The sequence below is a fragment of the Homo sapiens genome, chromosome 10 (assembly GCF_000001405.40).
Source record: "Homo sapiens chromosome 10, GRCh38.p14 Primary Assembly".
NCBI lineage: Eukaryota > Metazoa > Chordata > Mammalia > Primates > Hominidae > Homo > Homo sapiens.
This window is the reverse complement of record NC_000010.11, coordinates 17,350,451-17,377,924: the sequence shown is the minus strand read 5'-3', so window position 1 is coordinate 17,377,924 and position 27,474 is coordinate 17,350,451. Positions and strand designations below refer to the sequence as shown.

Sequence of the window (27,474 nt, the reverse complement as noted above, 5' to 3'; positions counted from 1 at the left end):
CAGGGGTTGTGTGTTCCATAATCAGTGCTATTACAGACTTAGGGAGCACAACGGGGAAAGCCATTCAGTGTATGGCGATAAAAAAGTAATTTCGTTTTCTTAGAAATAATTATCTGGCCCTATTTTTGTCATGGTCTGTTAAAGACTTAGAATTTTCTCTTTCTTCAGCCTATCTGTCCCTTTCACATTGCTAAAATAGGATTTAGAAAGATGGAGTTATAGTGGGAGGGAAAAGTGCTCTTTTTCTCCCCTAGTCTTAACTATATTTTTTGAATAAATGAAAATTAGGCAGTTGCCATTAGGAGAACAAGTGGGATAGGGTCTTTTGTGCCATAATTCTTTATTCTGTGTTTCAGATTTTGAGCTCCAAAATGAATGGGACAATGTCTTGTTCACATGCCTATCCCCTGGTGCCAATCACAAGGGTGCAGCACATAGCAGTTGCTCAATTAATTTTTGTTGAATAAACAAATAATTAAATGAATGTTTTTCTTAGGTTTTCAAAGCATTTTTATACCATCTCTGTTAGGCGTGTCCATGTGAAGAGACCACCAAACAGGCTTTGTGTGAACAATAAAGCTTTTTAATCACCTGGGTGGAGGCAGACCAAGTCCGAAAAGGGAGTCAGCAAAGGGAGAGAGGGGTGGGGCAGTTTTATAGGATTTGGGTAGGTAGTGGAAAATGACAGTTAAAGGGGTTTTTTCTCTTGCAGGCAGGGGCAGGTCATAAGGTGCTCAGTGGGGAGCTCCTGAGATTCACTGTCCAGGAGAAGGAATGTCACAAGGTCAACTGGTTAATTAGGGTGGGGCAGGAACAAATCATGATGGTGGAATGTCATCAGTAAAGGCAGGAATTGGCTATTTTCACTTCTTTTGTGGTTCTTCAGTTGCTTCAGGCCATCTCAATGTATACCTGCAGGTCACAGGGGATATGATGGCTTAGCTTGGGCTCAGAGGCTTGACAAACTCTAATTCCTAGATGTAAAAAAAATTATAAATCTATAAACCAATACTTTTTTGAAACCTATTTTAACTTCTTTGACTCTTTCTCTTACTTTGAGTTTGTACTTTTCTGTTTTTTTTCTACCCCATCCTCTTCCCTTGAATATTTCTCTGCCTTTCTGCAGCTCTATTCTTTCTAGTAGGTTATCTCCCAGATAAAATATTATACTGTATTAAAAATGCTTTATAGCCATCTTATCACTGCTAGTTCGCTCATTTTTTAGTATGACAAACTTATTACTTGTAATCTTTCTTGCCTGTATTTTTAGAAAAATGTCTCTATGGATATCCAAGCTGTCCATCTTATTCCTCATTGCCTCAGATAAATGAAATGATTTTTCTAAGAGCAGATACTTAGAGGTGCTGACCCAGGAAATCAACTTATTTCCTTTTCTTGGGTTTTTCTGCTTCTGTTGTTTTGCCTTCTCTTTTTTATGCTTTTCTTTCATTTCCCCCAAGAGTCCTGGCTCCCAAGAAAATGGACCATTAGGTTTGTTCAGTTTCTACCATTTGGTTAGAGTAGACACACTGCTCTAATAAAAGCTCTCGGAAGTCTGAGCACAAAATTTTACTCTCTCTCGCACAGTGTAAAATATTCCTTCTTTATCAGGCAACGCTCCTGGGTGGCTTTTCCCCCAGATGTTGATTCAGGGATACTGGTTCCTTCCATCTTAAGATCAAGCCATTTTCAACCATCTTGCTGCTCAAAGAGTAGCTACTAATAAAGAGAAAGCGGATACTGCACGCAGCCTGCAGGGGGCGCACATCACTCCCATTCTCTGCCATCTGGGACTGACCCTTCTAGATGTTAGAGACATGTTGGGGGTTTTGACTAATAAAATGCAAGTGGCACTGATGTGCGGTGGGTGTTTGGGAATGGAGTGTCTGGCTGGGCAGCTGCTTGTAGCATCAAGTGTGTACTACAGAAAGGGAGCACCAATCAGTGGTAATCCGCCAGGCGTCTCTGCCACGTATGTATTAAATAGCTCTACCATTCTGATCATTCTATTGATTATAGGCCTCTAGGGTGTCTCTTAAAGGTGGGAAGAAACACTTTTTTTTAAACAACAGCAATCTTGTACATCTTCTGAGCACCGGAGCATTTAAATAGATCCTCTAGTAAGGGACTGAGATGTCTTCTAAGGAACAGCATGTAAGCCACTGCCCTGTAACTTTCTGCACAATTGCTAGGGCATGCATGGTGGGCTCACTTGTATTCAGATAGCTTTCTGGGGTAAAATACAAATGCTCAGAATCAAGATTTGGAACATCTGCCTTGCACAGACTAAGTGCGGCTTACGCCATAGGTGAGTGTCTATGTTTGATGAGCTATTTCATGCTGTACCACTTAAAATCACTGAGAACAATTGAATTTTCTGAAAGATATGTTCCTCATGGGGTGGCATAAAGTTGCTACTCGGGAGGCACCGTTTTGCAGGGTGAAATGCAAAGTGAACTGAAGACTTGCCCTAAGTGTTCTTCACTCTATTATCCTGGAGAGAACAACATGACCTGATTGCTGCTTGAAAAGAAAAGGCATAAATTATGGCCGATCAAACTTCAAAAAGCCCAAGTGTGAGCATATCACTTGAAAGCCTGCTAACTATGCAAGTAGTCCTAAGTTTCAAGTTGTCCATCAGGAAGAAAGATTTTTGGTCATAGACAAGATTTTCTTGGCCTAGAATGATGTATGACTTGTTTCCATTCTACTTTAAATCTATGGTGCTTTGATTGCTTTTTAAAGCGATGTGTACATTTTTGTCTTTCTACTCACCTCTGACCTTTTAACTTGCCTTTTCTCATCAGTTTTTAAGAGTTCCAGAGCTGGGCATGGTGGCTCACACCTGTAATTCCATTGCTTTCGGAGGCTAAGGCTGGAGGATCGCTTGAGGCCAGGAGGTTGAGGCTGCAGTGAGCTATGATCACAACCCTGCACTCCAGCCTGGGTGACAGAGTGAGACCCTGTCTCAAAATATATATATATGAAACTGGAAAAAAAGAAGAGTTATAGATCAGAAAATATTACATCCACACAAAACAGCCATTCATACCAACACACTACATTCTTAGTATTTTGGGAAATTCTTCTTGGTAATCAAAGCAAAGGCTGTGTTTGCTGATATAAAATTTCAAGTTGGGAGGGCAGTTGAGCTAAATATATATATATATATTTATTATTTATTTATTTATTTATTTATTTATTTATTTTTGAGACAGAGCCTCATTCTGTCACCCAGGCTAGAGTGCAGTGGTACGATCTCCGCTCACTGCAACCTCTGCCTCCTAGTTTCAAGTGATTCTCCTACCTCCGCCTCCCAAGAAGCTGGTGCCCGCCACCATGCCTGGCTAATTTTTGTATTTTTAGTAGAGATGGGGTTTCACCATGTTGGCCAGGCTGCTCTCGAACTCCTGACCTCAGATGATCCACCCGCCTTGGCCTCCCAAAGTGCTGGGAGGCCTATAATCATAGGCATGAGCCACCACACCCTGCAGAGGTAATAATATTGAGAGTATGATAGAAGCCTCTGAAAATGTTTGCATTTAAACAAAAGTTATGTCAAATTTATTAAAAGGTGGTTTAACAATCATTCTGTACTTCAAAGAGTACATGAAAAACAACTACAGTCTAAGAGTTTGAAAGCATAGTCTCTCTTAAATTATTTGAATTCGTATATTGTTTGTTTCAATTATGAGCATGTATGACTTTTTTTTTTAACTCCCTCAGTTTAAAGATAAAAAAATGGGATTATGATTTGTTCAAAGTCACGCAATCTGTTAGTGGGAGGATGAGAAATAGACTACTTTTCCCGTGTGTGTGTGTGTGTGTGTGTGTGTGTGTGTGTGTGTGTGTGGTGGTTGTTGATGTTAAAAGATAACTAGCATAATCCTAATCTGAATTCCTTAATTAACACTTGGTAAGATTTCCTTACTATCATTTTTACTATGCTGAAGATTGGAATCATGTATTATTTTATTATAAGTATTTGTCACTGGAAACAAAACTGAATTTTCTCTCAGAGAAAAATGGAAACACTGGCTTGCTAGACTACAATGTTGATTACGCATTCATATCAGAAGGCTTCCTCATAGTTCCTCAAATAACTAGTCATTTGAATGAAGCCTTTTTGGGAAGACCATGGTAATAAAAATAATCAAATTTATTTAAAGTCATTGAGAAATAATTGGAATTATTTTCAATTTTAAAAGTGGCACCGGGAAAGATAGCAAATCTGTTGCTGTTTTCAATGCCTTCAAATATAACAGGCAATGTTAAAGGTATAGTTTATTTGCTATTTGTGGTAGCCAGAGCTGCAAGGTGACTGTCATCCAAAAGACCATCCGAACGGCTAAAATAGTAGAAAGGAGGGCTTTATTGGCAGTATCAGTCTGCAAACTGGGAAGAGAGTCTCCAGCGTGGACCATAGGTGCTCTCTCTTTAAAGAGAGGAAGAGCAGGTTGGGTTTTATGCCTCGCAGGGTCTGTATTACATGGTAAAGTCAAACATATTCAGCAGGTTTTGGGGAAAAGTTATGCATATTTATAAGGGGGAGTCAAATGCATGTGCTATATATGTAACATACATCCCATATTCACTTTGGGGTGGGTTTTAGGATTTAAATGAGGTGGAATTTGGCTCCTTTATGTCAAAAGGTGAACTATAGGACACAAAGACAGTTTGTGCACAGCCTCTATAAGCTGATGAAATTGGTGTAAGATCTGCTGGAGTTGCTTGTCAGAAAACAATGTTTGTAAGGCTGTCCTCCGTCCAATCAGAGGTGAGGTTATCTGGGTTATAAATCAGCCTGATAAATTGCCTGATAGCTCCTGTTAGGGAGTTTAGAAAGAGTGTGTTTTTTCTTGCAGCCGTGGGAATTTATGGAGTTGCCATGCTGGATGCCCTGTACCCTCGATCTGTAGGTAACTTTTGTTTTCCTAACCTTGTGATCCTTCATAGTTCATAAAAGGGCATCTATTTTGGTCTCTCAGATCACAGCCTTAAAGATCCTCTCTTCCTGGTATTTATACACTTCTATAGTCCCTGTCAGCCTAAAGAGGGCTGCCCCATGAAACCAATAGAATATTGCAGAAATAATGTGTGACTTTCAAGAAAGGTCATAAGAGACTTTGTGAGTTCTGTGCAATAATGAATGTTTACTGTTATTTTAAGCCACTAAGTTTTGGAGTAATTTGTTACATAGTCATGGGTAACTAACCCATTACTCAGTTCATAATCCTTTACATTATTATATTTTTGTCATAATGACGATAATTATTATTACTGTAATAATCAATAGTGATAGTCACAATTACCATTTCTGTGGGCCGACTCTCTGCCAGGTAATTTAAATGTATGTATAGTTCTTGCGATATTTCTTCAGAGTAGGTTTTACTATTTTAATTTTACAAGTGAGACAAATGAGCTCTGAGGTTGGCTTGCAGAACATCAGCCAGTTACAAATAGCAGAGCTGGGATTTGGATAAAATTCTAACTATTCTATTTCCACTACTCCGAGGCACCACTCTTAATGACAGCAGAATTTTAAGTCAGAAATTTGAAAACGGAAAGCATTGGATTTTGATTTTATAATGTGAAGCTATTCAAAAGTGATCCAGCTCCAAAATAGTAACACACGTTCCTCACTTTTTGTTACTTATTTTACACAAGCGTCCATGATAGAAATATACTTAGATAGCATTATCTTACGTAGCAGTACCCTACTTGAAGCTCGGGTATCAGTATGGTTTCTCTTGGTAAGATCCTGGCTGATGGCTAATTATTGTCATTGTTCAAAATTGATGTCTGAAAGCTTTGGACATTTTTAAGTTCTAGTCGTACATTAAATATTAATTTCAGAAATACAAAGCAACTACTAAGTGCCCAATACCATGGCAAGCATAGGAAGAGTTATTTTCGACCTGGAGAGTGCATTAGACTCACTGGTGAGCTTTTTCAAAGTATACATGGTTGAGAATGGATTTAGAACTCTTGTATATAAGGAGCATGACAATAAATATATTATTTCTATTTCTTAGCAGTCCACAGTATATTAAGAGAGTTGTACATTTAAACAAATATTTATCATACAGTGGCTTTCCCTTCTCATTTTTTACTTTCTTTCTTTTTTTTTTTTTTTTTTTTAATGGAGTCTTGCTCTGTCACCCAGGCTGGAGTGCAATGGCATGACCTTGGCTCACTGCAACCCCTGCCTCCTGGGTTCAAGCGATTCTCCTGTCGCAACCTCCCAAGTAACTGGGATTATAGGCGTGCACCACCACGCCCTGCTAACTTTTTGTATTTTTAGTCGAGAAGGGGTTTCACCATGTTGGCTAGGCTGGTGTCAAACTCCTGATCTCAGGTCATCCTCCCACCTCTCCCTTCCAAGGTGTTGAGATTACAGGAATGAGCCAGTGTGCCCAGGCCCTTCTCATTCTTCACTGTAGATTCCTTCTCACGTCTCCTTATTTTTGACACTGGATGCCCCAGAATTCAATCCTCAGGCCTCATTTCTCTTCATCCTCATCCATCCGGGACCTCATTTAGTCTCATGTTTTTAAATACCATACTGACAATTCTCAAATTTCTATCTCCCACCTGAACCTCTTTGCAGATTTGTATGTATCTCTGCCCAGTCAGAGCTTTCCTGGAATGCCTGTAAGGGATCTCAAACCTAGTCTGTCTCACACTGATGTCCTGGAATTCCCTCTCAACTTTGCACTTTAGCACTCTTCCCTGTATCAGTTAATGACGTGTCTATCCTGTCAGTTCCTTGGGCCTGAAACTTTGAAGTTATCCTTGATTCCTCTCTTTTTAGCCATACCATGTCCCATCTATAATTAAATCTTATTGGCTACCTTCAAATCAAATCCAGAAGCTGCTGATTTCTTCCTAACCCCACCAATCCTACTTTGGTTTAAGCCACCTTCATCCTGCTGCTGGATTATGGCAAACATCTCTTAATTTTCTCTCAACTTCTACCTCTTGCTCTCTTAAGGACTATTTTCAACAAAGTAGGTAGGGGGATCCTATTTCTGTAAGTAGACAGATAACTTCTCTGCTCCAAAGTCTTTTAATTTCACTCAAAATAAAGGACAAAGTTCTTCCAGTGACCTGCAAGTTTCTTACAAGTGCTTCCCAAATATATATGCATACGTTTGCCATTAACAGCACCAAGGAAGTGGGTTGGAGCAAAGGTATACTGTGCTATAGAAATGACAAGAGATGATAAAGTAATAATGATAACAAGGTATAGTTGGGTTTGTAACATTAATAGGCCTAATACCTATAATAATAATATCATAATTAAGGAGAAAAAAGAATAGAGCTATGTAGGAATAATATTCCTATGTATCCCTACAATTAAACTAGTATAAATTTGAAGCTGATTCTGATAAGTTGTGTATGGTAAACCTTAGAGCAACCACATTGAAAATAGTTAAAATTATAAAAGATGTTAAGATGCTACATTAGAAAATATTTACCTAAGTCAAAACAAAGCTATAAAAGAAGAATAGAGAAACAAAAAAGAATATGAAACATACAGCAAACAAAAAGTAAAATAGCAGACATAAATCTAACTATATAAATAACAACATTAAATTTGAATGGATTAAATCACCCAATCAAAAGTCAGAGATTGTCAGGCAGGGCGTGGTGGCTCACGCCTGCAATCCCAGCACTTCGAGAGGCCGAGACGGACGGATCACGAGGTCAGGAGATCGAAACCATCCTGGCTAACATGGTGAAACCCCATCTCTACTAAAAATACAAAAAAAAATTAGCCAGGTGTGGTGGCGGGCGCCTGTAGTCCCAGCTACTGGGGAGGCTGAGGCAGAAGAATGGCGTGAACCCAGGAGGCGGAGCTTGCAGTGAGCCGAGATCATGCCACTGCAGCGACAGAGCTAGACTCCGTCTCCAAAAAAAAAAAAAAAGTCAGTGATTGTCACACTGAATTAAAAACATGATCCAATTCTATGCTGTCTACAGAAGACACACTTTAGACTCAAAGATACAATAGATTGAAAGTAAAAGGATGGAAAAAGTTACATTGTGCAGATAGCAACCACAAGAAAGCTGGAGTGGCTCTACTGATATCAGACAGAATAGACTTTTAAAACAATAAAGTTAAGAGATAAAGAAGGAGATTTTATATGATAAAGGTCATCCATTAGCAATATATAATAATTATAAACATGTATGCACCTAATAACAGCACCAAAATACATGAAGCAAAGAGAGAAACAAGTCAACAATAATAATTCAAAACTTCAATATCCACTTTCAATAGTGGATAGAACAATGAGAAAAAGATTATCATGGAAATAGAAGACCCTGAAGAACACCATAAACCCACCAGACTTAAGCACTCCATGTAACAACAGACTATGATGATCTTCTCAAAAGCACACAAATCATTCTCCGGGATATACCATGTGTTAGATCATTTTTTTAAATGCAGTACATTTAAAAGAATAGAAATAATACAAAGCATAATATCTGATCACAATGAAGTGATATTTGAAATACATAGCAGAAAAACAATTTGGAAAACTCACAAATGGGTGAGAATTAAACAACACATTTCTAAATATCCAGTGCATCCAAGATGAAATCAAAAGGAGAATCAGAAAATACTTTAAGATGAATGAAAATGAAGACATAGCATACCAAAACTTATGGGATGCAGGGGGTAATAAAGGATACAGGATTTTTTTTTGAGGTGATTAAAATGTTGTAAAATTGACTGCGATGATGTTTGAACGTATCTGTGAATATAACAACCACTTAACAGTACATATATGATGGGTGAATTGTGTGGCATACAAATTATGTCGCAATCAAGCTACTAAAAACTTTTAACTACATATCACCTGTGGGATTTTGTTTCAATATAGATTCTAATTTTGTGAGTCAGGGATGGGGCCTGAGATACTGCATTCTTAACAAGCCTATCCTATGTGATGCCAGTACCACTAGTCTCAGGTCCACCCTTTGAATAGCAAGGCCAATAGCATCAGACTTCTTATTACCTTTCTGATCTCATCTCCTGCCACCTTCATGACTGGATTCATGAGTGACTCAGAGGTGGATTACAGCCACCCACATCATTTCGTGTCCCTCAAACACACCATGCCTGCCTTTACCTCCAGCCTTTACAATTTCTTTCATTTTGCCCAGAATGGTCTCCCCACACTTGCACCACCCCCTTATATTTGCACAGCTTACTTAATTATTACTTTATTAATTACTTAATACTTTTTTCAAGTATTTGCTCAATTACCACCTCTCAGTGAGGGCTTCCTTGGCCACTCTACACAAACTGCAACACTATTCCTCGTACTTTCTTTTTCTATTGTCCTTCTTTCCTTTTTTTTTGTTTTTGTATTACTTAGTACATTGAAGTACCTAGCACTTTAACATGCTATTAATGTATGTATTATTTCAGTTTGCTATCAACCGTTACTACAATATAAACTTCACGAGAACATAGAATTTTTTTTTTTTTTTTTTTTTTTTTGAGACAGAGCTTCACTCTTGTTGCCCAGGCTGGAGTACAATGGTGCGATCTCAGCTCACTGTGACCTCTGCCTCCCAGGTTCAAGCAATTCTCCTGCCTCAGCCTCACGAGTAGCTGGCATGTGCCACCATGCCTGGCTAATTTTGTAATTTTTTTTTTTTTTTTTTTTTTTTTTGTAGAGACAGGATTTGTCCATGTTAGTCAGGCTGGTCTCGAACTCCTGACCTCAGGTGATCCACTCGCCTTGGCCTCCCAAAGTGCTGGGATTATAGGCGTGAGCCACTGCGCCTGGCGGAGAACATAGATTTTTGTGTTTTGTTGGTTATTACTGATGCATAGAACAGTGTCTCATGCATAGCAAATGCGCAATAAATATTTTTTCAATAAATATATGAAAATAAAAGGATAAGTGCTGTACGGATACGTAATAGATATAGGGGTGGTGCAAAGGAGAGTCAGGAGGGAGGGAAGGGTCAGCTCTGCTTATGTGTGTTCGGACAATTAAAGATGCAAAAGGTTAATAGCCACTCATATATGGTTTAAGAATCTTAGCAGGTGTTTTATGCATGCTTGCTTATTTACTGTTGTAACTTCAAGAAATGGTGAAATAGTGAATTTATTGGTTTTATCAGACTCTGCAATTTATAGGTCTTACTTGTAAAAACTGATGGTATAAGATCACTAAATTGTCACTTTCATCTCTCAATATTCTCTTATACATCTGGAGATTTCCTTGAAACTTGAAAAATGGGTCATCATTTTTTTCATCTTTAGAAATCTAACAGTGATTGTATGACAAGAGGAAATTCAAAACTCTTAAATATCAGACTCATTATTTGTTTATTGATTCTCTTTATCCTGGTGATATATTTGCAGGTTGCAGATATTTGTGAAGAAGAAGTGATATGGTTGGCTGTGTCCTCACCCAAGTCTCATCTTGAATTACAGCTCCCATAATCTCCATGTGTTGTGGGAAGGACCTGGGGGGAGGTAATTGAATCATGGGGGCGGGTTTTCTCGTGCTGTTCTCATGACAGTAAATAGGTCTCAAGAGATCTGATGGTTTTATAAAGGGCAGTTCCCCTGCACATATTCTCTTGCCTGCCACCATGTAAGATGTACACTTGCTCCTCCTTTGCCTTCCTCCATGTTTGTGAGGCCTCCCCAGCCATGGTGAACTGTGAGTTCATTAAACCTCTTTTTCTTTATGAATTACCCAGTCTTGGGTATTTCTTCATAGCAGTATGAAAATGGACTAATACACGAAGCTTCAAGATACTGAAAATTCTGTTTTGTATTTTGCTGTGAGCTACTGCTTGATTTTGGCATTGTATCAAATTTTCCATTGAAGTACAATTCAGTTACCCCAAAATAATGCTGAGAACTAACATCATAAATAAATTGCTGTTTGTGCTATAAATTCTTGGCTGATCATTCAGATCTACCATCTGTGCTTTTTCTTCTTGCTGCATGTCCTTGAGGCTGACTTCCTTGGACTACATTAGTTGGACCCTCTTTCTCTTACCCTTTGGGTTCTGGTTAGGTTTGGCCTATGGGAGTCATTGGCAGGAGAATGGAAGGTGGAAAGAGAGACAGTTTGGGGGATTTACTCCCATGGATCCCTCTCTGTGGGCTGGGATTAGGGATGACTGCATCTTCTACCAAAGGCTACCACCCTTGTCTTCACCTACAATCACAGCTCTTTCTGGGTCACCTGTAGATTTGGGGGTGGTAACAGCTCTCTTACTCTACCCTGTTGACGGCCCTAGTGTGCTCCACCAATCTATAGCTTTTGCTACGTCACATCCCACCTCTTTGTAAACAGATACACCATTCCCTCTTGGTTGGCTGAGGTTAGTCACTGCTCACAGCATTTCCTAGCACATCTTAAGTATATACTTAATACCAGTACCCAATAAGTTAATTTTGTAGAACAAAGGAAGCATCCCTTGAAAAAAAAAAAGAAAAGGATGCCTGGCTTTTTCAAATAATACAGTACAGCACTTTGGAGATTTCACTGGGGCTGTGAAGAAGTACATTGGCATCTTCAGGAGTTAATCTCTGAAGCTGTGTTCTAATATTTATTTAACTTGTCTTAGGGACATTTAAAGATATGGAGAAAATAAAAGTTGCAGATCCCTTTTTCCCATGCTGGTTGACAATACCCATGACACTCTAATTAGAAGTTACCATCGTGCATAGCTGAAAACAATGTAAATTGAACTCTTCTACCTTTAGTGGATGAAATGTCGGTGCCACTGCATAGCTCAACTCAGTCTACCAGCCACACACTTCTCCTAGTTTGGCTTTCATACACTCATTAGCTATTCCTTTAAAGAGTATTACCCAGTGGAAATGATTGACTGTATTGACTGAAAGTCTTGTAGCACTGTACTCGTTTGCAGAATTTTTTCAAGCAGAGCTGAGCTCTTCAGGGGCTTGGTGAAAATGCTGCAAAAGACTTTTTGATCTACACAGAACATCACTCAGAAAACTACTGACTTAATATTACTGTGTTGTTCCCACCCATTTCAATGGATGAAAAATGGCTGGCTTTCACCATGAAGAGATGTCATAGGAAACCAAATTGGTATCTCAGCTGCTTACATAAGACTAGTAAATCAGTATCTCCAAGATAACTTCTATGTACTTAGTAAGTACCCAATACAGTAGTTCCCCTTATCTGCATGGGATATTTTTCAAGACCCTCTTTGGATGCCTGAATCCACAGATAATGCAGAACCCTATGTATACTATGTTCTTTCAGTTTCATAACTGAGATGGCTACTAAGTAACTAAGTCAGCAGGCAGGTGGCACAGACAGGGTGGATCTGCTGAATGGAGGGATGATTTACATCCCAGGCAGGATGGAGCAGGATGATGTGAGATTTCATAGCTCACTCAGAGCAGTCCACGATTTTAAACTTATGAATTGTTTATTTCTGGAAGGTTCCATTTAATATTTTTGGACTGTGGTTCACCATGGGTGGCTGGAACTGAAGAGGATGAAACCATATGTAAGGGGGAACTACTGTAAATATTTAACCATTTTATTAATTAACCATAAATTATAGTGCTTGAAAAGCCCTATTTATATCTTAATTGAGATAAAAGTAGTCACAGCATGTGGGTCTTCATCTTCAAAGAGACGTTTCTAGAAAAATGTTTAAAATTTTAATATGACATTTATTATCATTTAGTAGGTTATTTATAATTTGTGGTTCGAGTATTACTAATAATGATTTAAATAGACATTATTCTTTTGAACATAACTTGCTGCATTATTTAGTGTGATTTATTTTATGTCTTGGGACAGAAAACATTTCTGATGGGATTAATTTTCAATTTCATTATGAAAATAGATGAGATACAATATGATATATTGGTAAGAGCCAGAATGTGAATCAAAAGACATGAGTTTAATTCTTAGCTCATCTACATACAAGGCAATATTGAGCAAGCTGTTTATCTTCTCAGAACTTTCAGTTTTGTCATCCAGAAAAACAGAAATGATATCTGAAGCAGAGCTACCTCCCAAGATTTTGGGGTGAGATCTGTGCTTTATAAACTGAAAATCAATTATATATGTAAGTGTGCAGAAAATATGATGTGATTTAGAACATTTTACTTAACAGGAAGCTGTTGCAGAGATACACCTATCCCCAACTTGGCCCACAGCTGGAGCACACATGTGGTTTTTCCTCCTCAAATGATTTTTGGTTACAACCATGCTTCCATTTTATAATTGTGATGATCCTGTGGCAATCTTAATTTTCTCAAAAAGCTGTTGGTGATTTAACTTTCACTAAAAAGGGCAAGCACTTAGAAAAAAATTCCCTTTTATATCCCTTATTCTTTTGTCTTCCCCTCTATAACGTCAGAGGATAAGGCTTCATTTCCAGATTGGACATAAAAATGATTTTTTGAACACTTAATCTCAGGGAGTAAGTACCTTGAGTACTGTCTTCCAATTGTAAAATGGCCAGAAGTATATCTAATAATAGATGGGTCTGCTATAAGGTATTCACTTGGTTTTACATACCAGTTACCATAAAGTCAAAGGCCATTTTATTCAGCTAACCTACCAGTAAGCTTAGATACATTATGATTGGCGTCTTTCAATATTAGGTTAAATTGGAACCAGCTACAACATATAGGGGGAGTGATGTTTAAAACAAAATATTTTAAAGACTATCCATATTCTACAATGCACATTTTTCCCAGTTGTCCATGGATGGCAATTTTAATGTTCCAGACTAAGCTCAATATACAGGCAAGAATGATTGCAAAACAATCTCTGCTTTTCAAGTAAGCTAAAATAAAAGTATCAGGAGCATTTGCACAAAATTTTGGTAGTAATAAAGTAATCTTTAATTTGCTAAGGTAGTACTTGCTGTTTGGATGTTATATGATAGTTTTGTATAACCCAGAACCTCTCTGGATCAGTCTTATTTGATGAGTTAGATGTGGCAGCAAAGTCTTACCTGGCCTTTTCAGCAAGCCTCAATGAAGCTCAAACTATGGGGATAATGAATGAGTATGAGCCAGCCCAACAGGCTCACAGCTGGGATGAGAAGTATAGGAGCTATGGTGAGCTCATTCATGTTTTACTATCAGCTTGGGTGGAGGGGGGAAGCAGAGAAACCTGATTTGTCAAATTTGCCAATTCCTGTGGTGTAAATGCTTCCACTTTGGCTGATTTCAAGCTACCAATAGTTTAATAACCTGTTCACAACATTCCTGAAAGCTTAGCGGTCAGCTCCCATAAGCTTGTATGAGCCAACTCCAGCATATTAATAAGATAAAGTATGGAGGAAAGGACGAGAGGATCCTCACACCCATGCCATGCCAACAAAGAGGGCTGAGAAAGGAGATTACTCTCAAGTCCACGAGTCAGCCAAAAGGAGGGATTTATTGTATTCTTTAAGTTGCAGAGGTTACATCACTACTACCAAGCAATATAAACCCCTTTCTCAATTTCCTATGTGAACTAATTGGCAAGTTCTACATTGATCATTATTGAGGGAGCTCAAAAAGGAAGATGGGTACAGTTAATGTATGCGTTACTCATGGAAAAAGGGGGTAGTAGTTTAACAGGACACACACACACACACACATATGCATGCCTTTAATGCTAAGAAACTAGCTGAATTGGATTACTGGATTGAGAAAATTGACTAATGAGCTATTGAGCTCTAACGTGAGAATTCTCAAGCGATAGATACATTGAAGGAGGGCTGGGCTTTAAATGGGGAGATTTGTAAATAGGAAAAGTCAGTGGAAGTAAGTCAGTACTGAGGGAAGTTTTAAGTGGAAATCATAATCCAAGCTTTGAGCTTATTCAGAATAGTTTATGACCTCATTACATGTTGTATTTATATTTAAACATGCATTTCCAGGCCAGGCACGGTGGCTCAGGCCTGTAATCCCAGCACTTTGGGAGGCCGAGGTGGGTAGATCACAAGGTCAGGAGTTCGAGATCAGCCTGACCAACATGGTGAAACCTCGTCTCTATTAAAAATACAAAAATTAGCCGGACATGGGGACGCGCGCCTGTAATCCCAGCTACTCAGGAGGCTGAGGCAGGAGAATAGCTTGAACCTGGGAGGCGGAGGTTGCAGTGAACCGAGATCCCACCACTGCACTCCAGCCTGGGCAACAAAGCGAGACTCCATCTCTAAATAAATAAATAAAATGCATTTCCTAGGTTAATGAAAACAAATCAGCATGTCGTAGGGATTGTGCTGGGCTAGAAAAGGTCAGTCCTCAAAGTCCTGAGGGGAAGGACGAGACCAAGAAACCAACATGTAAAGTCATAATTAAATTTAACATGAGAGAGGCTATTATAGAAACGTTGGTCAAAGCAGTCTGAGCGCTCATAGGAAGTAGCATCTTAGCTATCCAGGGAACTCTTTAAAAAAGTATATCAATTTAAATATACTGTAGGTTCATAATAAATCAAATTTCAAATTTTAGATATTTGATCCTTAAAAATGGCTGATATGTAATGCTTATTATCTTAGTTATAGCATCATTGAAAATATAATTTTTAGTTTAGTAATAAACATTTAAAAGTTTTTTGAGGAGTAATGTTCAATGAACTTCAACTTAAGTGTATAATTTGTCAAGTGTTGGAATATGTATACATCATTTCTACAATCATTAGATGATTATGTCATCTCTGAATAAAGACAGTTTTACTATTTCCTTTTTAATCTGGATGGCTTTATTTCCTTTTCTTCTTTATTGCATTGGTTGGACCTCTAATACAATGTGGAATAGAGATGGTGAAAGTGGACAATCATGTCTTTTTCCTGATTTTAGGGGGAAAGCATTCATCATTCAGTCTTTCACCATTAAGTATGATCCTAGCCATAGGTGTTTTTGCAAATGTCCTTTATCAAATTGTGGAAATTCTGTTTTACAGTGAGGGTTTTTGTCATTGCTGAATGTTGGATCAGGTCAAATCCTTTTGTGTGCTGAGATTATTATTTGTGCTTTTTAAAATTATGTTAATATGGTGAGCTGCTTTGATTGATTTTAAAATAAACCAAATTTCTGATATACCCCTCAGTAGGTCACAGTGCTTTATCCTTTCTTCATGTTGTTGGATTCAATTCAATAATATTTTGTCGAGGATTTTTTGCATCTATCTTTATAAGAAATGTTGGCCTGCCCGGTTTTTTTTTTTTTTTCCCAATGTCTTTTCCTTATTTTTGTATCAGGGTAACCCTGTTCTCATATAGTGAGTTGGGAAGTATCTTACTCCCTTCAATTTTCTAGAAGACTTTGCATACAATTGGTATTAATATTCCTTAAATGTTTGATAAAATTCTCCAGTGAAGCCATTTGGGCCGTGTGTGTGTGTGTGTGTGTGTGTGTGTGTGTGTTTTGTAGGAAGAATTTTAATTACAAAATCAATATTATTAATGGCTATAGGACTATTTATGTTATTAATTTCTTCTTGAGTGGCCTTTGGTAGTTTGTGTCTTTCAACACATATCTCCACTGCACCTAAGTCACCAACTATTTTGGCATAAAGTTATTATACTTTTAATGTTTTAAGGATTCTTAATGCTCCATCCTCTCTCATTTCTGGTACTGGTCATTTGTATCTTCTCTGACTTTTTTCTAATCAGTGTGGCAAGAGTTTTTATCAATTTAATTGATGTTTTCAAAGAACAAGCTTTTCATCTCATTGAATTTTAAAGATTTTATCAATTTCTACTCTAATCTCATTTTTCACTAATATTCTTTGCTTGGGAATATTATTTTCTTGTAGTAATATTCCTTGCTCAGAAATACACTATGAATATAGCCCTTCTAACTTTGTTTTAATGATTCTTTTTACTTTTATTTGCTTATTTATACAAAATATGCTTCATGTAGACAACATGTGGATTGGTTGATTCTTCTTCTCCCTCTTCTTCTCCTTCTTCTTCTCCTCCTCCTCCTTCTTCTTCTTCTTCCTTTTCCTCTTCTTCTTCCCTTCTTCCTCTTCTTCTTCTTCGTCATCTTCTTTCTTCTCCCAGTTTGAAATTTTTTGCCTTTTAATTGGTATGCCTAGATCATTTATATTTGTTGAGATTAGTCACACAGTTGGGCCTAAATCTGCCATCTTGCTGTTTGTTCTCTATTTACCTGTTCTTTGTTCCCTTCCCTCTTTTTCTGCCTGCCTTTGGATTATTTTTATGATAACATTTTAATGATTTTGTTTGGTTTTGCTCGTTGTTTTAGGTGAAGAGTGTTCATCTTTTTCTTATTGGTGTCAGTTGTCAAATGATTTATATCACTTCTATTTCCACTTTCCCACCCCCACCTCTTTCTGGCCTTTGTTCTATAGTTCATGCATTTATGTCTACATATATAAGCCCACCTCAAATATTATTATAGTCACTTTAAACAATTTTCTTTCAAGAAGACTTAGAAAAATAAGAAAAAGTCTTTCATGTATATGTGAATATTTTCCGTTCCCAGTACTCATCATGTTCTGTCAATCTAGATATTAGTCTGGTTTCATTTTTCTTCTCCATTATGTCTTCAACATATATTCTATCTCATTGTTGTAGAGCCTTTGATCACTAATACCTGGCAACTAATGAATAAGTTACTAATTGAAATAAAATTTAAGAGTTTTCTCACTCAAAGGGATACTTGCATTTCAAATGAGAACGCAAAGACTAAAGGATATTCTGTGCTTTAGAAATTAATACTTAATGGTGGAATTTCAGACAGGGAGAGATCTACCAGGGACTGGGATCCTGCTCAGTGCTTCTCAAACTATACCACTCTACCTATAGATTTTTATGTCAATAAACTTCTCTCTCAACAGTCCAATCTGGGTGTTGAATGTACAGTTCAAAATTATAACTTAAGATAATTATTTGGAGGAAAATTTTGCCTATACATTCCAAGGTAAATATGTGAACTTAGAGTCTGAAAAAATCTATTGAGTACATATTTATGGCAAACATCTATAAAACATCTATAAATATATATTTGTCAATTATTTTAAGCCAAGGTGAAATGTCCATTAGATACATATGCAAGTTGGTGTGTTGTCACGGTTTTTAATACTACACTTGGCTTATGACATGTGCAAATTATAAATCCCTAAACCAACATAATAATCATTTACAAATTGTATTTTCTCAGTGTTTTGAAATGAGTATGATTTTAATTATTTCTGCCTCACCTTATATCAAAAAATATTTATAGACTAAAGGGAGTAGATTATAACAGTATCTTCTAAGAAGACTTACATATGAGATCATTATTTTCTAATTATATTGACATTTAATTTTTAGGTATTCAGAGAACGACTACCTTCAGATTATCACAGATATACAGAGTTGTCCATGGAAACGGCAAGCAGAAGAATATGCAAATTTTAGGTAATTTTTTTCATAAATAATATGAGATTTTAAAAATGTCTTGTTCATTTGCTTTGTAGAAAAATAGGCAATATGTTATTAAAAAGAGAAGTAGAACCAACCCCAGCTGGCAATGAGGCCAACTGAATTCTAAGACCCTCTCATGAGGCACAGGGCATTCCATCTCCATCTCTTGTGTATAAATTTGCATTATGTTACTGTTTGAATTACAAAAGTTCCCAAATTCAAAAGAAAGATTTTAGTATGTTTTGTAAGTTATATTTTAGAAGATGTTGTGTTTTTTGGTACCATTTACATTTAGTATTTATTTGTTTAGTAAATAAAATGTCATCGTATTAAAGTATGTTTGGAAAACATAATCTCTAATCCCATCCCTTTAGAACAACTTTTGTTTTCTACCAGTTTTTCCTCATTCACTTTTTAACACAAGTGACATTCAGGGGCGTGAGTTGCTTTAAGTAATAACCCAGGAAGGAGGTGTCAACTGGCAAAACCAGGTTATCACTTGACCATTATAGGGCTGTAGCTGGAAAACTTGTAGCCCATCCAGACAGGAATAAATTTTGTTAAAGCAATATGCAGTGAGGCAGCATCAGTACTTATCTGATAGTTCTTACCCCCATACCTCCACATATCATAGATCAAGGTCAGTTGTCTCTGTGCTTGGTCTAGATTGCTCTGGTTTTTTTGGGGGGCGGGGCTTCTTTTCTTTTTCCTCCTCCTTCTTCCTCATCATCTTCTCCTTTCTCTTCTTCTTTCCTCCTCCTCCTCCTTTTTCCTCTTCCTCTTCTTCTTTCTTCTTTCCTCCTCCTCCTCCTTTTTCCTCTTCCTCTTCTTCTTTCTTCTTTCCTCCTCCTCCTTATTCTTTTTCTTCTCCTTCCTTCCTTCTTTCCTTCCTTCCTCCCTCCTTCTCCTCCTTCTTCCTCTTCCTCCTCCTTTTCCACATTCTGATTTTTTCCTGTACATCCCATTCCAATTTTGTGCTATGCCAAATTATTTTATCCTATTACAATCCAGAGACATGTCTTTATCTTTACTCATTATTTTCAAAGTTTACTTGAAGCATTAAACTTGTAAAAAAATTACTAAAGAGATTTTGCTTTCCCCTAAAATACTCTAAGAAATATCTGCAGTATGGTTCTCTTTTTTTATGTGGGAAGGCAGCTCTTCTTGTTTGCCTTATATAGTGGCTCTGCCTGTTCCTTCTTTAGTCAGAATATGCTGGTATGATTGGACCAACTGCCTTTGATTCTGCTACCAATGTGAGGAGGGTTCTGCTCCACCCCCAGTAGGTGAAAGAGTGCCTTCCTGGTGGTGTCAAAGCTAAAATGGGTATATCTTCCCTCCACTGGGTAGACACATGGATATCATGACTTCCTGGAGGATACCATTAAACATCTTTCCTATCTGATATTTTAGGAAGAGAGGCTGGAAAGGGGATTCCTGTTTAACGATTTCATTTCCAGGACGTTTTATGCCAAATTCAATCTATTTGAGACTGGATTTGAGAGGTCCTGGTGGCAGGAAGATGAGATTGAAAATTGCACAATCATAACCTAAATGATCACAGGGTCAACAAGTGATAACAGAGTCTGATTTTGAGAAACCTTTCTGCATATGCAGAATAGACAAAAAAAGAAGAGGGAGAGATTCAGGTAGTGAGCTATTGAGGATCAATCTAAGATAATTAGCTGGAAAGATAGATTTGTAATGACTGTAATGATCAAAGTAGGGAGTATAGGAGCTTTTACTTCTGGCTGTTAAGTTCAGACCAAGCCTCTTGAGAGTAATGAAAATAAAACAAAGTCTACCAAACACCTGTGTGAGGACACTGGAGCAGGTCCTCCCTGCCACGAAGGCAGGGAGAATTTAAAGGACTAAAGCCCAGAAGGTGAAAAGAACCCATCAATTTGGGCTGGTTTTTGTCATAAAGAACTTGCCGAATACAAAAGCAAAATTTGGCTGAGAGGCAGAGAAGCTGAGCAGAGCTTCCAGCAATCCCTGGAAAAACCAGTTTTCAAAAGAACTGAAGGCCAACTTTGAATCCCTGGAAAAACCAGTTTTTAAAAGAACTGAAGGGGCTGGGCGTATGGCTCACGCCTGTAATCCCAGCACTTTGGGAGGCTGAGGCAGGTGGATCACGAGATCAGGAGATCAAAAGCAGCCTGACCAACATGGTGGAACCCCGTCTCTACTAAAAATACAAAAAAAAAAAAAAAAATTAGCCAGGCGTGGTGGCATGCACTTGTAATCCCAACTACTCAGGAGGCTGAGGCAGGAGAATCGCTTGAACTCAGGAGGCAGAGGTTGCAGATTGTGCCATTGCCCTCTAGCCTGGGTGACATGACAGAGAGACTCCGTCTCAAAAGAAAAAAAAAAAAGAACTGAAGGCCAACTTTGAAACATTTCCATCCTGAGCTGGATTTAGATCTGCCCTTAACTTAGATGCCCGATAGGAGCAGAAGGAAATCCCTTCTTGGGGATTCCCTTGGGGGAAGGTAACCTTATTCAGAGCCTTAAATCATCTCTATAAGTATCCACTCACAATGTCTGGCTCCATTTAATAACTTATTATCTGTAAATCTTTTGTCTTCCTTTCCTTTCTTTTTTTTGGACAAAAATCAGTCTCTTCAAATCCAGAGATGTATGAAAGTCACTGCTGCAGATTATGAGGTATAGAATCTGTATAGATGGCTGGTCCATGGAGGGTACAGCCATTATTACCTTAGTACCATTTTCACATTAAAAAAAAATGCATCAGTAACCATGACAATTACTCCAAATGGCCTATCCATCCCTTCAGGGCCAATTTAAGTAAACATCTTAGGCCAGGTGCAGTGGCTCATAACTGCAATCCAAGCACTTTGGGAGGCTGAGGTGGGTGGATCACTTGAGGCCAGGAGTTCGAAACTGGCCTGGCCAACATGGTGAAACCTCATCTCTACTAAAAATATAAAAATTAGCTGGGCATAACGGGGCATACTTGTAATCCCAGGTACTCAGAAGAATCACTGAGGCGGGAGAATCACTTGAACCTGAGAGGCAGAGGTTGCAGTGATCTAAATTGTACCACTGCACTGCAGGCTGGCTGACAGAGTGACTCCACCTCAAAAAAAAAAAAAAAGTAAACCTCTGGGGCTATAATACATTTTGTTGTCATAGAAGAGAACAGGCACACAGACATTTATTTATTGACTTGAATATTTATTATATTGTAATGTTCTTTTTATGGGCATATTTCTAAACTATGCACTGTATAGTTTAGAGCACTGTAGTCTTTTTTTGTTCCTGCTAGAGTGCTGGGCACAAAATAGGGCCTCAACAAAAAAAAATATTAAAGAAATGGATGCATGAAAGTAAACAAAAAAGTGTCATGTTTTCTTACTGAACTCAAAGAATTTATAGTCACTTTAGAAAGACAAGAAATATAAGTATGAATATTTATGATTGAATATCAGAATGAGTGATTTAGACAAATACTGTCATATATTAATGCAAGATCACTGTGGGATATAGTTTTTTGAAATATTTTGTGAAAAGAGGCAGAACTTGAGCTATAACTCTGAAGATGGCTGCAAAGGGAGGGTGAGACCAATTTGGGAGTGATGAGGCCAGGAAGAAAGGCAATAAGATTCAAGGCCAGCTGGGCTGGAGCAATGAACTTGTACTATTAGGTACGCAAGATAAAGAGGATAATTTCAGGTAGACAAGGAAGGATCTGATGCATGGAGATCTGGTTATCAGAGTAAAGTCCACAGACATTCTGTAGCTACCAGGAGCCCAAGAGCAATATTGCTAGCAAAGGAATTACAAATTGAATTTACTGTTTTAGGGAAAGTATTCGGACAGCATAATGAATGAAAGCAAGTTGGAGTATTAGGAGGGAGGGAGTAGTGTAGAAAAATCAGAGCAGGTAGGGGCTGGTTGTAGACAAGTAACTACAGAATGGTGACCAACTACAACATCAACGGTAGCTATGAAAATATCAAGAGAGAGATGCTTGACTATGAGCCCTTTGGGGACATGGCATTATCTTGTTTATCTTTGTATCTCCAGTGCCTATCTCATAGATGGTACCCAATAAATTGCTCTATGACTGAAGACTTGGTAGGACTTGGTTACTTGTTGACTTCCAGTTCTCTCATTGAAGGAGAAGAAAAATAAAGTCAAATGAGAAATCCTGCATCTGAAATACTCATGCTGCTACTGACAGAAAGATTTCAAAGAGAAATTGGATTGAGAAGATAAAAGCATCTTGGACAGGATGTGTTTGAGCTGACTTTAAGACAACTGGATACAGAAGACCTTTTGCTTGGTCTGGGGAAAATATAAATGCTAAGAGAAAATGAATTCTCTCAAAAAAGAAAAGCAACTGCAGTTTAAATCTGGCTTTTGTAAGAGATAGGGCTTCTCCAAGTCTATCTTCTCAGCAATTTTATTTTAACTTTCTTGTTGTGCTACGAGGGGGTTTGTCCTCTTTTTATAGATTCCTAAGCTTTTACTCATTCAGCACTTAATTGTGGGTCTGAGAACTTGGCAGCTTGGCGCTTGAGTCTCAAACTTCCTTCAGCTTTTACCCGGAAACATGAAAGGCTTAACTAGGAAGATTCTTAATCTGAAGTCCATGAAAGCGGTTTCCTAAAACTCTCAAAATTGTGAGATTTTGTACACGTTTCTGGGAAAAGAATCTGTGGCTTTCATCAGATTCTCCAAGAGTCTAGAACCTTCCACATGGACTAATGTATTTCTAAGGATCTTTCTGGCCCTGAGACTCTGGGATTCAATTGCCTATCCAGGATGCCTATCCAATCACCTTCCAAGATGGCATGGTTATCCCAAGCATAGGTGTGAGTCTGGCTCAGATTTACCTGAAATTTACCGCAGATTCTAAGTTTCCGCTATGAATTTACATTTTGTGAGATACTAGTTGAACTCAGTTAAAGAGAGATTTAAGTAAGAGTTGAAGATGTCCTGCTCTCTGTTCTTTCTTGGTATCTAATTTCTTTTAGGTGTAGCAGTACAAAGTCAACAATGTTGAGGTGTCTGCCTTTTCTGCTTTTAAAAGCTTGATTGATTCTCCTATAAGAGGTCCCCACCCCCTTCCCTCCAAGGACAAGCTAATGCACAGAATAATTTGTGAAAAATCTACCTGGATTTCAGTCTAAGAAATTATTGCTCTTCACAGTCTCTCCCTCTGATTTTTAGAAAACTGATGGATAATCATTTGCTTGAGCGTGACACTCAGCTATTTGAGAATAACATTGAGATGGTTAAATTTAAATTAAACATGATATGAGACGCCCTCTAGTCCTCCTTCCCCAGTTCTTCTGCTTCACCCATGAAGGCTTCTTTGTGAAGCTCTGGAAACTTCTGGTAAGCAGGTTTTATCCCCGCAGATCTTTGAGCTCCAGTAATTAGTCTTAGATTCCCTAGGTAACTTGCATGGTAATTACTGCATTAGCTTTCTTGAATAGTTTTCTAACTTAAAAGAACTGTATTCATTTCTGTAGCCAATTACAGAAAACTAATAGGTACACAGTAACAGTCCTTAATTTCTATTTTACTTTCTTCCCGCCCCCAACCCCGAAATACACACACTATTATTTTGTTTCTTAGTTTCTTTTGGAGCCACTAATACCATTTGATTTTTATAGACATCGTCAGGTTTCAAAGAGATGAGCTGGAATCCAAGATGACTGAATATTATCAATCACATATTTACTGAAAACTTAGTGGCAGGAAACAGTGCTATTATGTCAACCCACACATTTATGACTCATGCAAATGAGATACCTTTCAAATGACTTGTAAAACAGGTATTTCGTGCCTGATTACTTTGTTACAGATAACTATTACACTGTGGCAATTTTATTAAATCTTGTATTATCCCCTCAGGTTTGATTAAAATTTCTTGGAAGTTATTCCTTTGTCTTTCTTGTGTTGGATATGTGAGAAAAGATTCCAGTGCTGTATTTGTAGATTAATTGATATTTCTAAAATAACAGTCACCATCTTGCTTTCATTTTTATTTATGTTCTTTGAAGAAAATAGTGTTAAACAAAATACACCTGCATATCTACCACCTATGTTAATTGTTTCAGCTATATGACATTTACATTATTCAAACCATACCATTTAATGATTTAACTTTGTGAAACGATATAAACTATGAAAAGAGATGGGATAAGTTAATCAAATTTTTGCATTAGATCATAAAACTGGAAAATCACACTTAGTTTTACCACAAAGTTTTCACTTTATTTTCTGAACTATTTCTGCAAAAGCAACAGTATTGTCTGACTTTGGTAAGTGTTTTGTGAGCTTACACTTTTTCATTCAATTAACATTTATTGACCCTTATTATGTCCCAGGCATTTTGTTCTGTAGGACAAAGTTCTTGGAGAAAACCAAAAATCATCTCTGCTAGGGGCTTCTTTCAATAATACAAGACTAAGTTCATTTTTCTGAGCCTCTAAATGTTTGCTGTTTACAATTCATACAGGGTGACTACATTGACAGCTGAAAGCAATACATATTTTATTTTTTTTTAATTTAAGAAGTGTGTACTTTATGATAGGTGATTTGGGTCAGCTGTCAGATTGAAAAAGCTTTTTTCTTTGTTTCCTCTGCATCAAGACCATTTTTCAGCATTAATATACTGTCATATCATCTTCTATTTGTCATTACCATACAGCATGCCTGTGCATTTAGAAAAAGCAACAGAAACCACACCATGTCATTACTTCTTCCGTATTTAATAACAGAAACTAACTCTTGCACATTTAGGGACTAGCTCCTCTCCTTGGTCTTCAGAATATAAACTTTGCCATCAAAGTATATGGAACTCACGTGGGGTTCACTGGTCTTCTAAATTCTACTTCAAAATTTATCTCCCAAGTTGTACTCAATATTAGCTATATATTTTTATGTTCACATGTCAAATACGCTCCCTTTCAGCCTGCCTTGTGTTTCAAATTCTCTTTTCCTTACAACATTGCTTGCCATGTCTTCATTGGTACATTACATTGTTTACACTGGTACAATATCAAAGTAGATAGATCTTTCTCCAGTGTTTTAACATTGTTCCTTCACTCATGAGTTTATATTTCAATTGACTTCCTATCCTTTGCTTTAATCATCATATTCTTTTATATTTCATTTTACCTTGCGTTAGTTCTGACACTCTACTCAAATATATGAGCTGGTCTTTTACAAACTGAACAATATCAATGTACGCATTAGCTGTTAAGGGAAAAACTTAGACATCTGAGTTGCTGATTGAATTTGGACTTTTTGAAGAGTTTTACTTATTATTCCTTTAAATTTAAATGTTTATTTTTAATTGATGAATATTGTATCTATTTATGGAATAAAATATGGTGTTTAGATATATGCATACACTGTGGAATAATTATATCAAGCTAATTAACATATCCATCAGCTCATATGCTTAACATTTTTTTTTTTAGTGAGAACATTTAAAATCTGCTCTTTTAGCAGTTTTGAAATCTGCAATACATTATTAGGAACTATGGTCACCATGTTGTGCAATGGATCTTGAAAAATGTATTCTTTCTGCCCAACTGAAACTTTGTACCCTTTGACCATCATCTCCTCCCAACCTGTTGTAACCACCATTCTCCTCTGTACTTCTATAAGTTCAACTTTCTTAGATTCCACATGTAAGTGAGACCATGCTGTATTTGTCTTTCTGTGCCTAGCTTAGTTCACTTAGCATAATGTCCTCCAGGTTTATTCTTGTTGTCTGCAAATGACAGAATTTCCTCATTTTTTAAGGCTGTATACTATTCCACTGTGTATATATACCACATTTCATTTATGCATTCAGCCATTGATGGACACTTAGGCTGATTCTACATCTTGGCTATTGTGAATCATGCTGTAGTAAACGTGGGAGTGTAGGTATCTTTTTAACATATTGATTTCATTTCCTTTGGGTATTTATTCATTTTCTTTCTTTAGCTGTCATGTTATGTGGGGCCCTAGGAGTTTGGGTTTCATCTAGTATGTGATGGTGGAATAATTTAACATAAAATGAAGGTTAAATATAGATGTCCTGGTTACAGTACTAAAATTTTTTTTTACTTTTATCCTGGAAGAAATTTAACTTTTTTTTTAACCCCATTTAACAAATGAAGAGGTAGAGGTTCAGAGAATTGAGATGAATTTTCCAAGGTGTCATCACTAGTAAATGAAGGAACTGGATATCTAGTCTTGGAATTCTCAATATCCATTGCTGCCTCTGCCATCACATGTCAAAATGATTAGTGCAGTAGACTTGTGCAGGATAGATAGGACAGGTGGCCTCTTCTGCACTAGGCCAGGTGTGAAGTGATGAAGACATGGACTGAGAAGCCCAGTAGAGCAATTAGAAGAGAGATGCTGGGGTGGGGGCAGGGAACACTCAGCAGTTTCAGGGAAAGGGAAAAGTGGCAAGATGATGAAATGAGGCTTCTCCAGTTATTGAGGTCTCGTAATATTCTTGGCTTTTCTGAATACCATGTCTTCCATTTTGTATCTCACTAGATTCATTAAGGGGCAATCACTGATGTCTGACTTTCTGATTCTAAATGTACAGGTCATGCCACCTTCCCAATTTTTTGAGGGAGCCCTAGTTTGAAGATCAAACTCTACTCTGAGATTAGTGTCATGGATTAACCTGAAGCAGGGATAACTATCAATGGCCGTATCTTACCTGTCAGTGTGATGTCAGCCTGATGATCACACAGACTACAGACAGCTCCCCTGTAGGTTGCTGGGATTTTTCCCAATGTACCAAGTGGCTAGTTCAATAGACAACTCTATTTTAACTGAGGTATAGAAGTGTTGCTAAAAAAAAAAAAGGTGGTGTCTATTTGAAGCTCTTAATTTTCCTCCAATCTATTGGGGCTGAAATGGAATGTTTTCCTGCCTTTGGAATCCCTAAATCACTGGATTTCTTAGATCATTTTTGTTTTGTTTTGTTTTGTTGAGATAGGGTCTCACTATGTGGCCCAGGCTGGTCTCGAACTCCTGGACTCAAACGATCCTCCCGCCTCAGCC

General features: G+C 37.6%; 1 protein-coding gene across 6 annotated transcripts in view; it reads left to right on the top strand.

Moving 5' to 3' along the window:
- The window catches only part of ST8SIA6 (ST8 alpha-N-acetyl-neuraminide alpha-2,8-sialyltransferase 6), a 139,175-nt gene that overhangs the window by 76,671 nt on the left and 35,030 nt on the right, over nucleotides 1-27,474 (top strand). For all 6 annotated transcript variants that reach the window (NR_144322.2, XM_017016174.2, NM_001004470.3 and 3 more), the window contains one exon: nucleotides 18,325-18,411. Coding sequence is in view for 2 of the 6 variants with exons in the window: in XM_017016174.2 (XP_016871663.1) it covers nucleotides 18,325-18,411 (87 nt within the window). In the remaining 4 variants the exon portion in view is untranslated. The remainder of the gene's footprint in view (nucleotides 1-18,324; nucleotides 18,412-27,474) is intronic.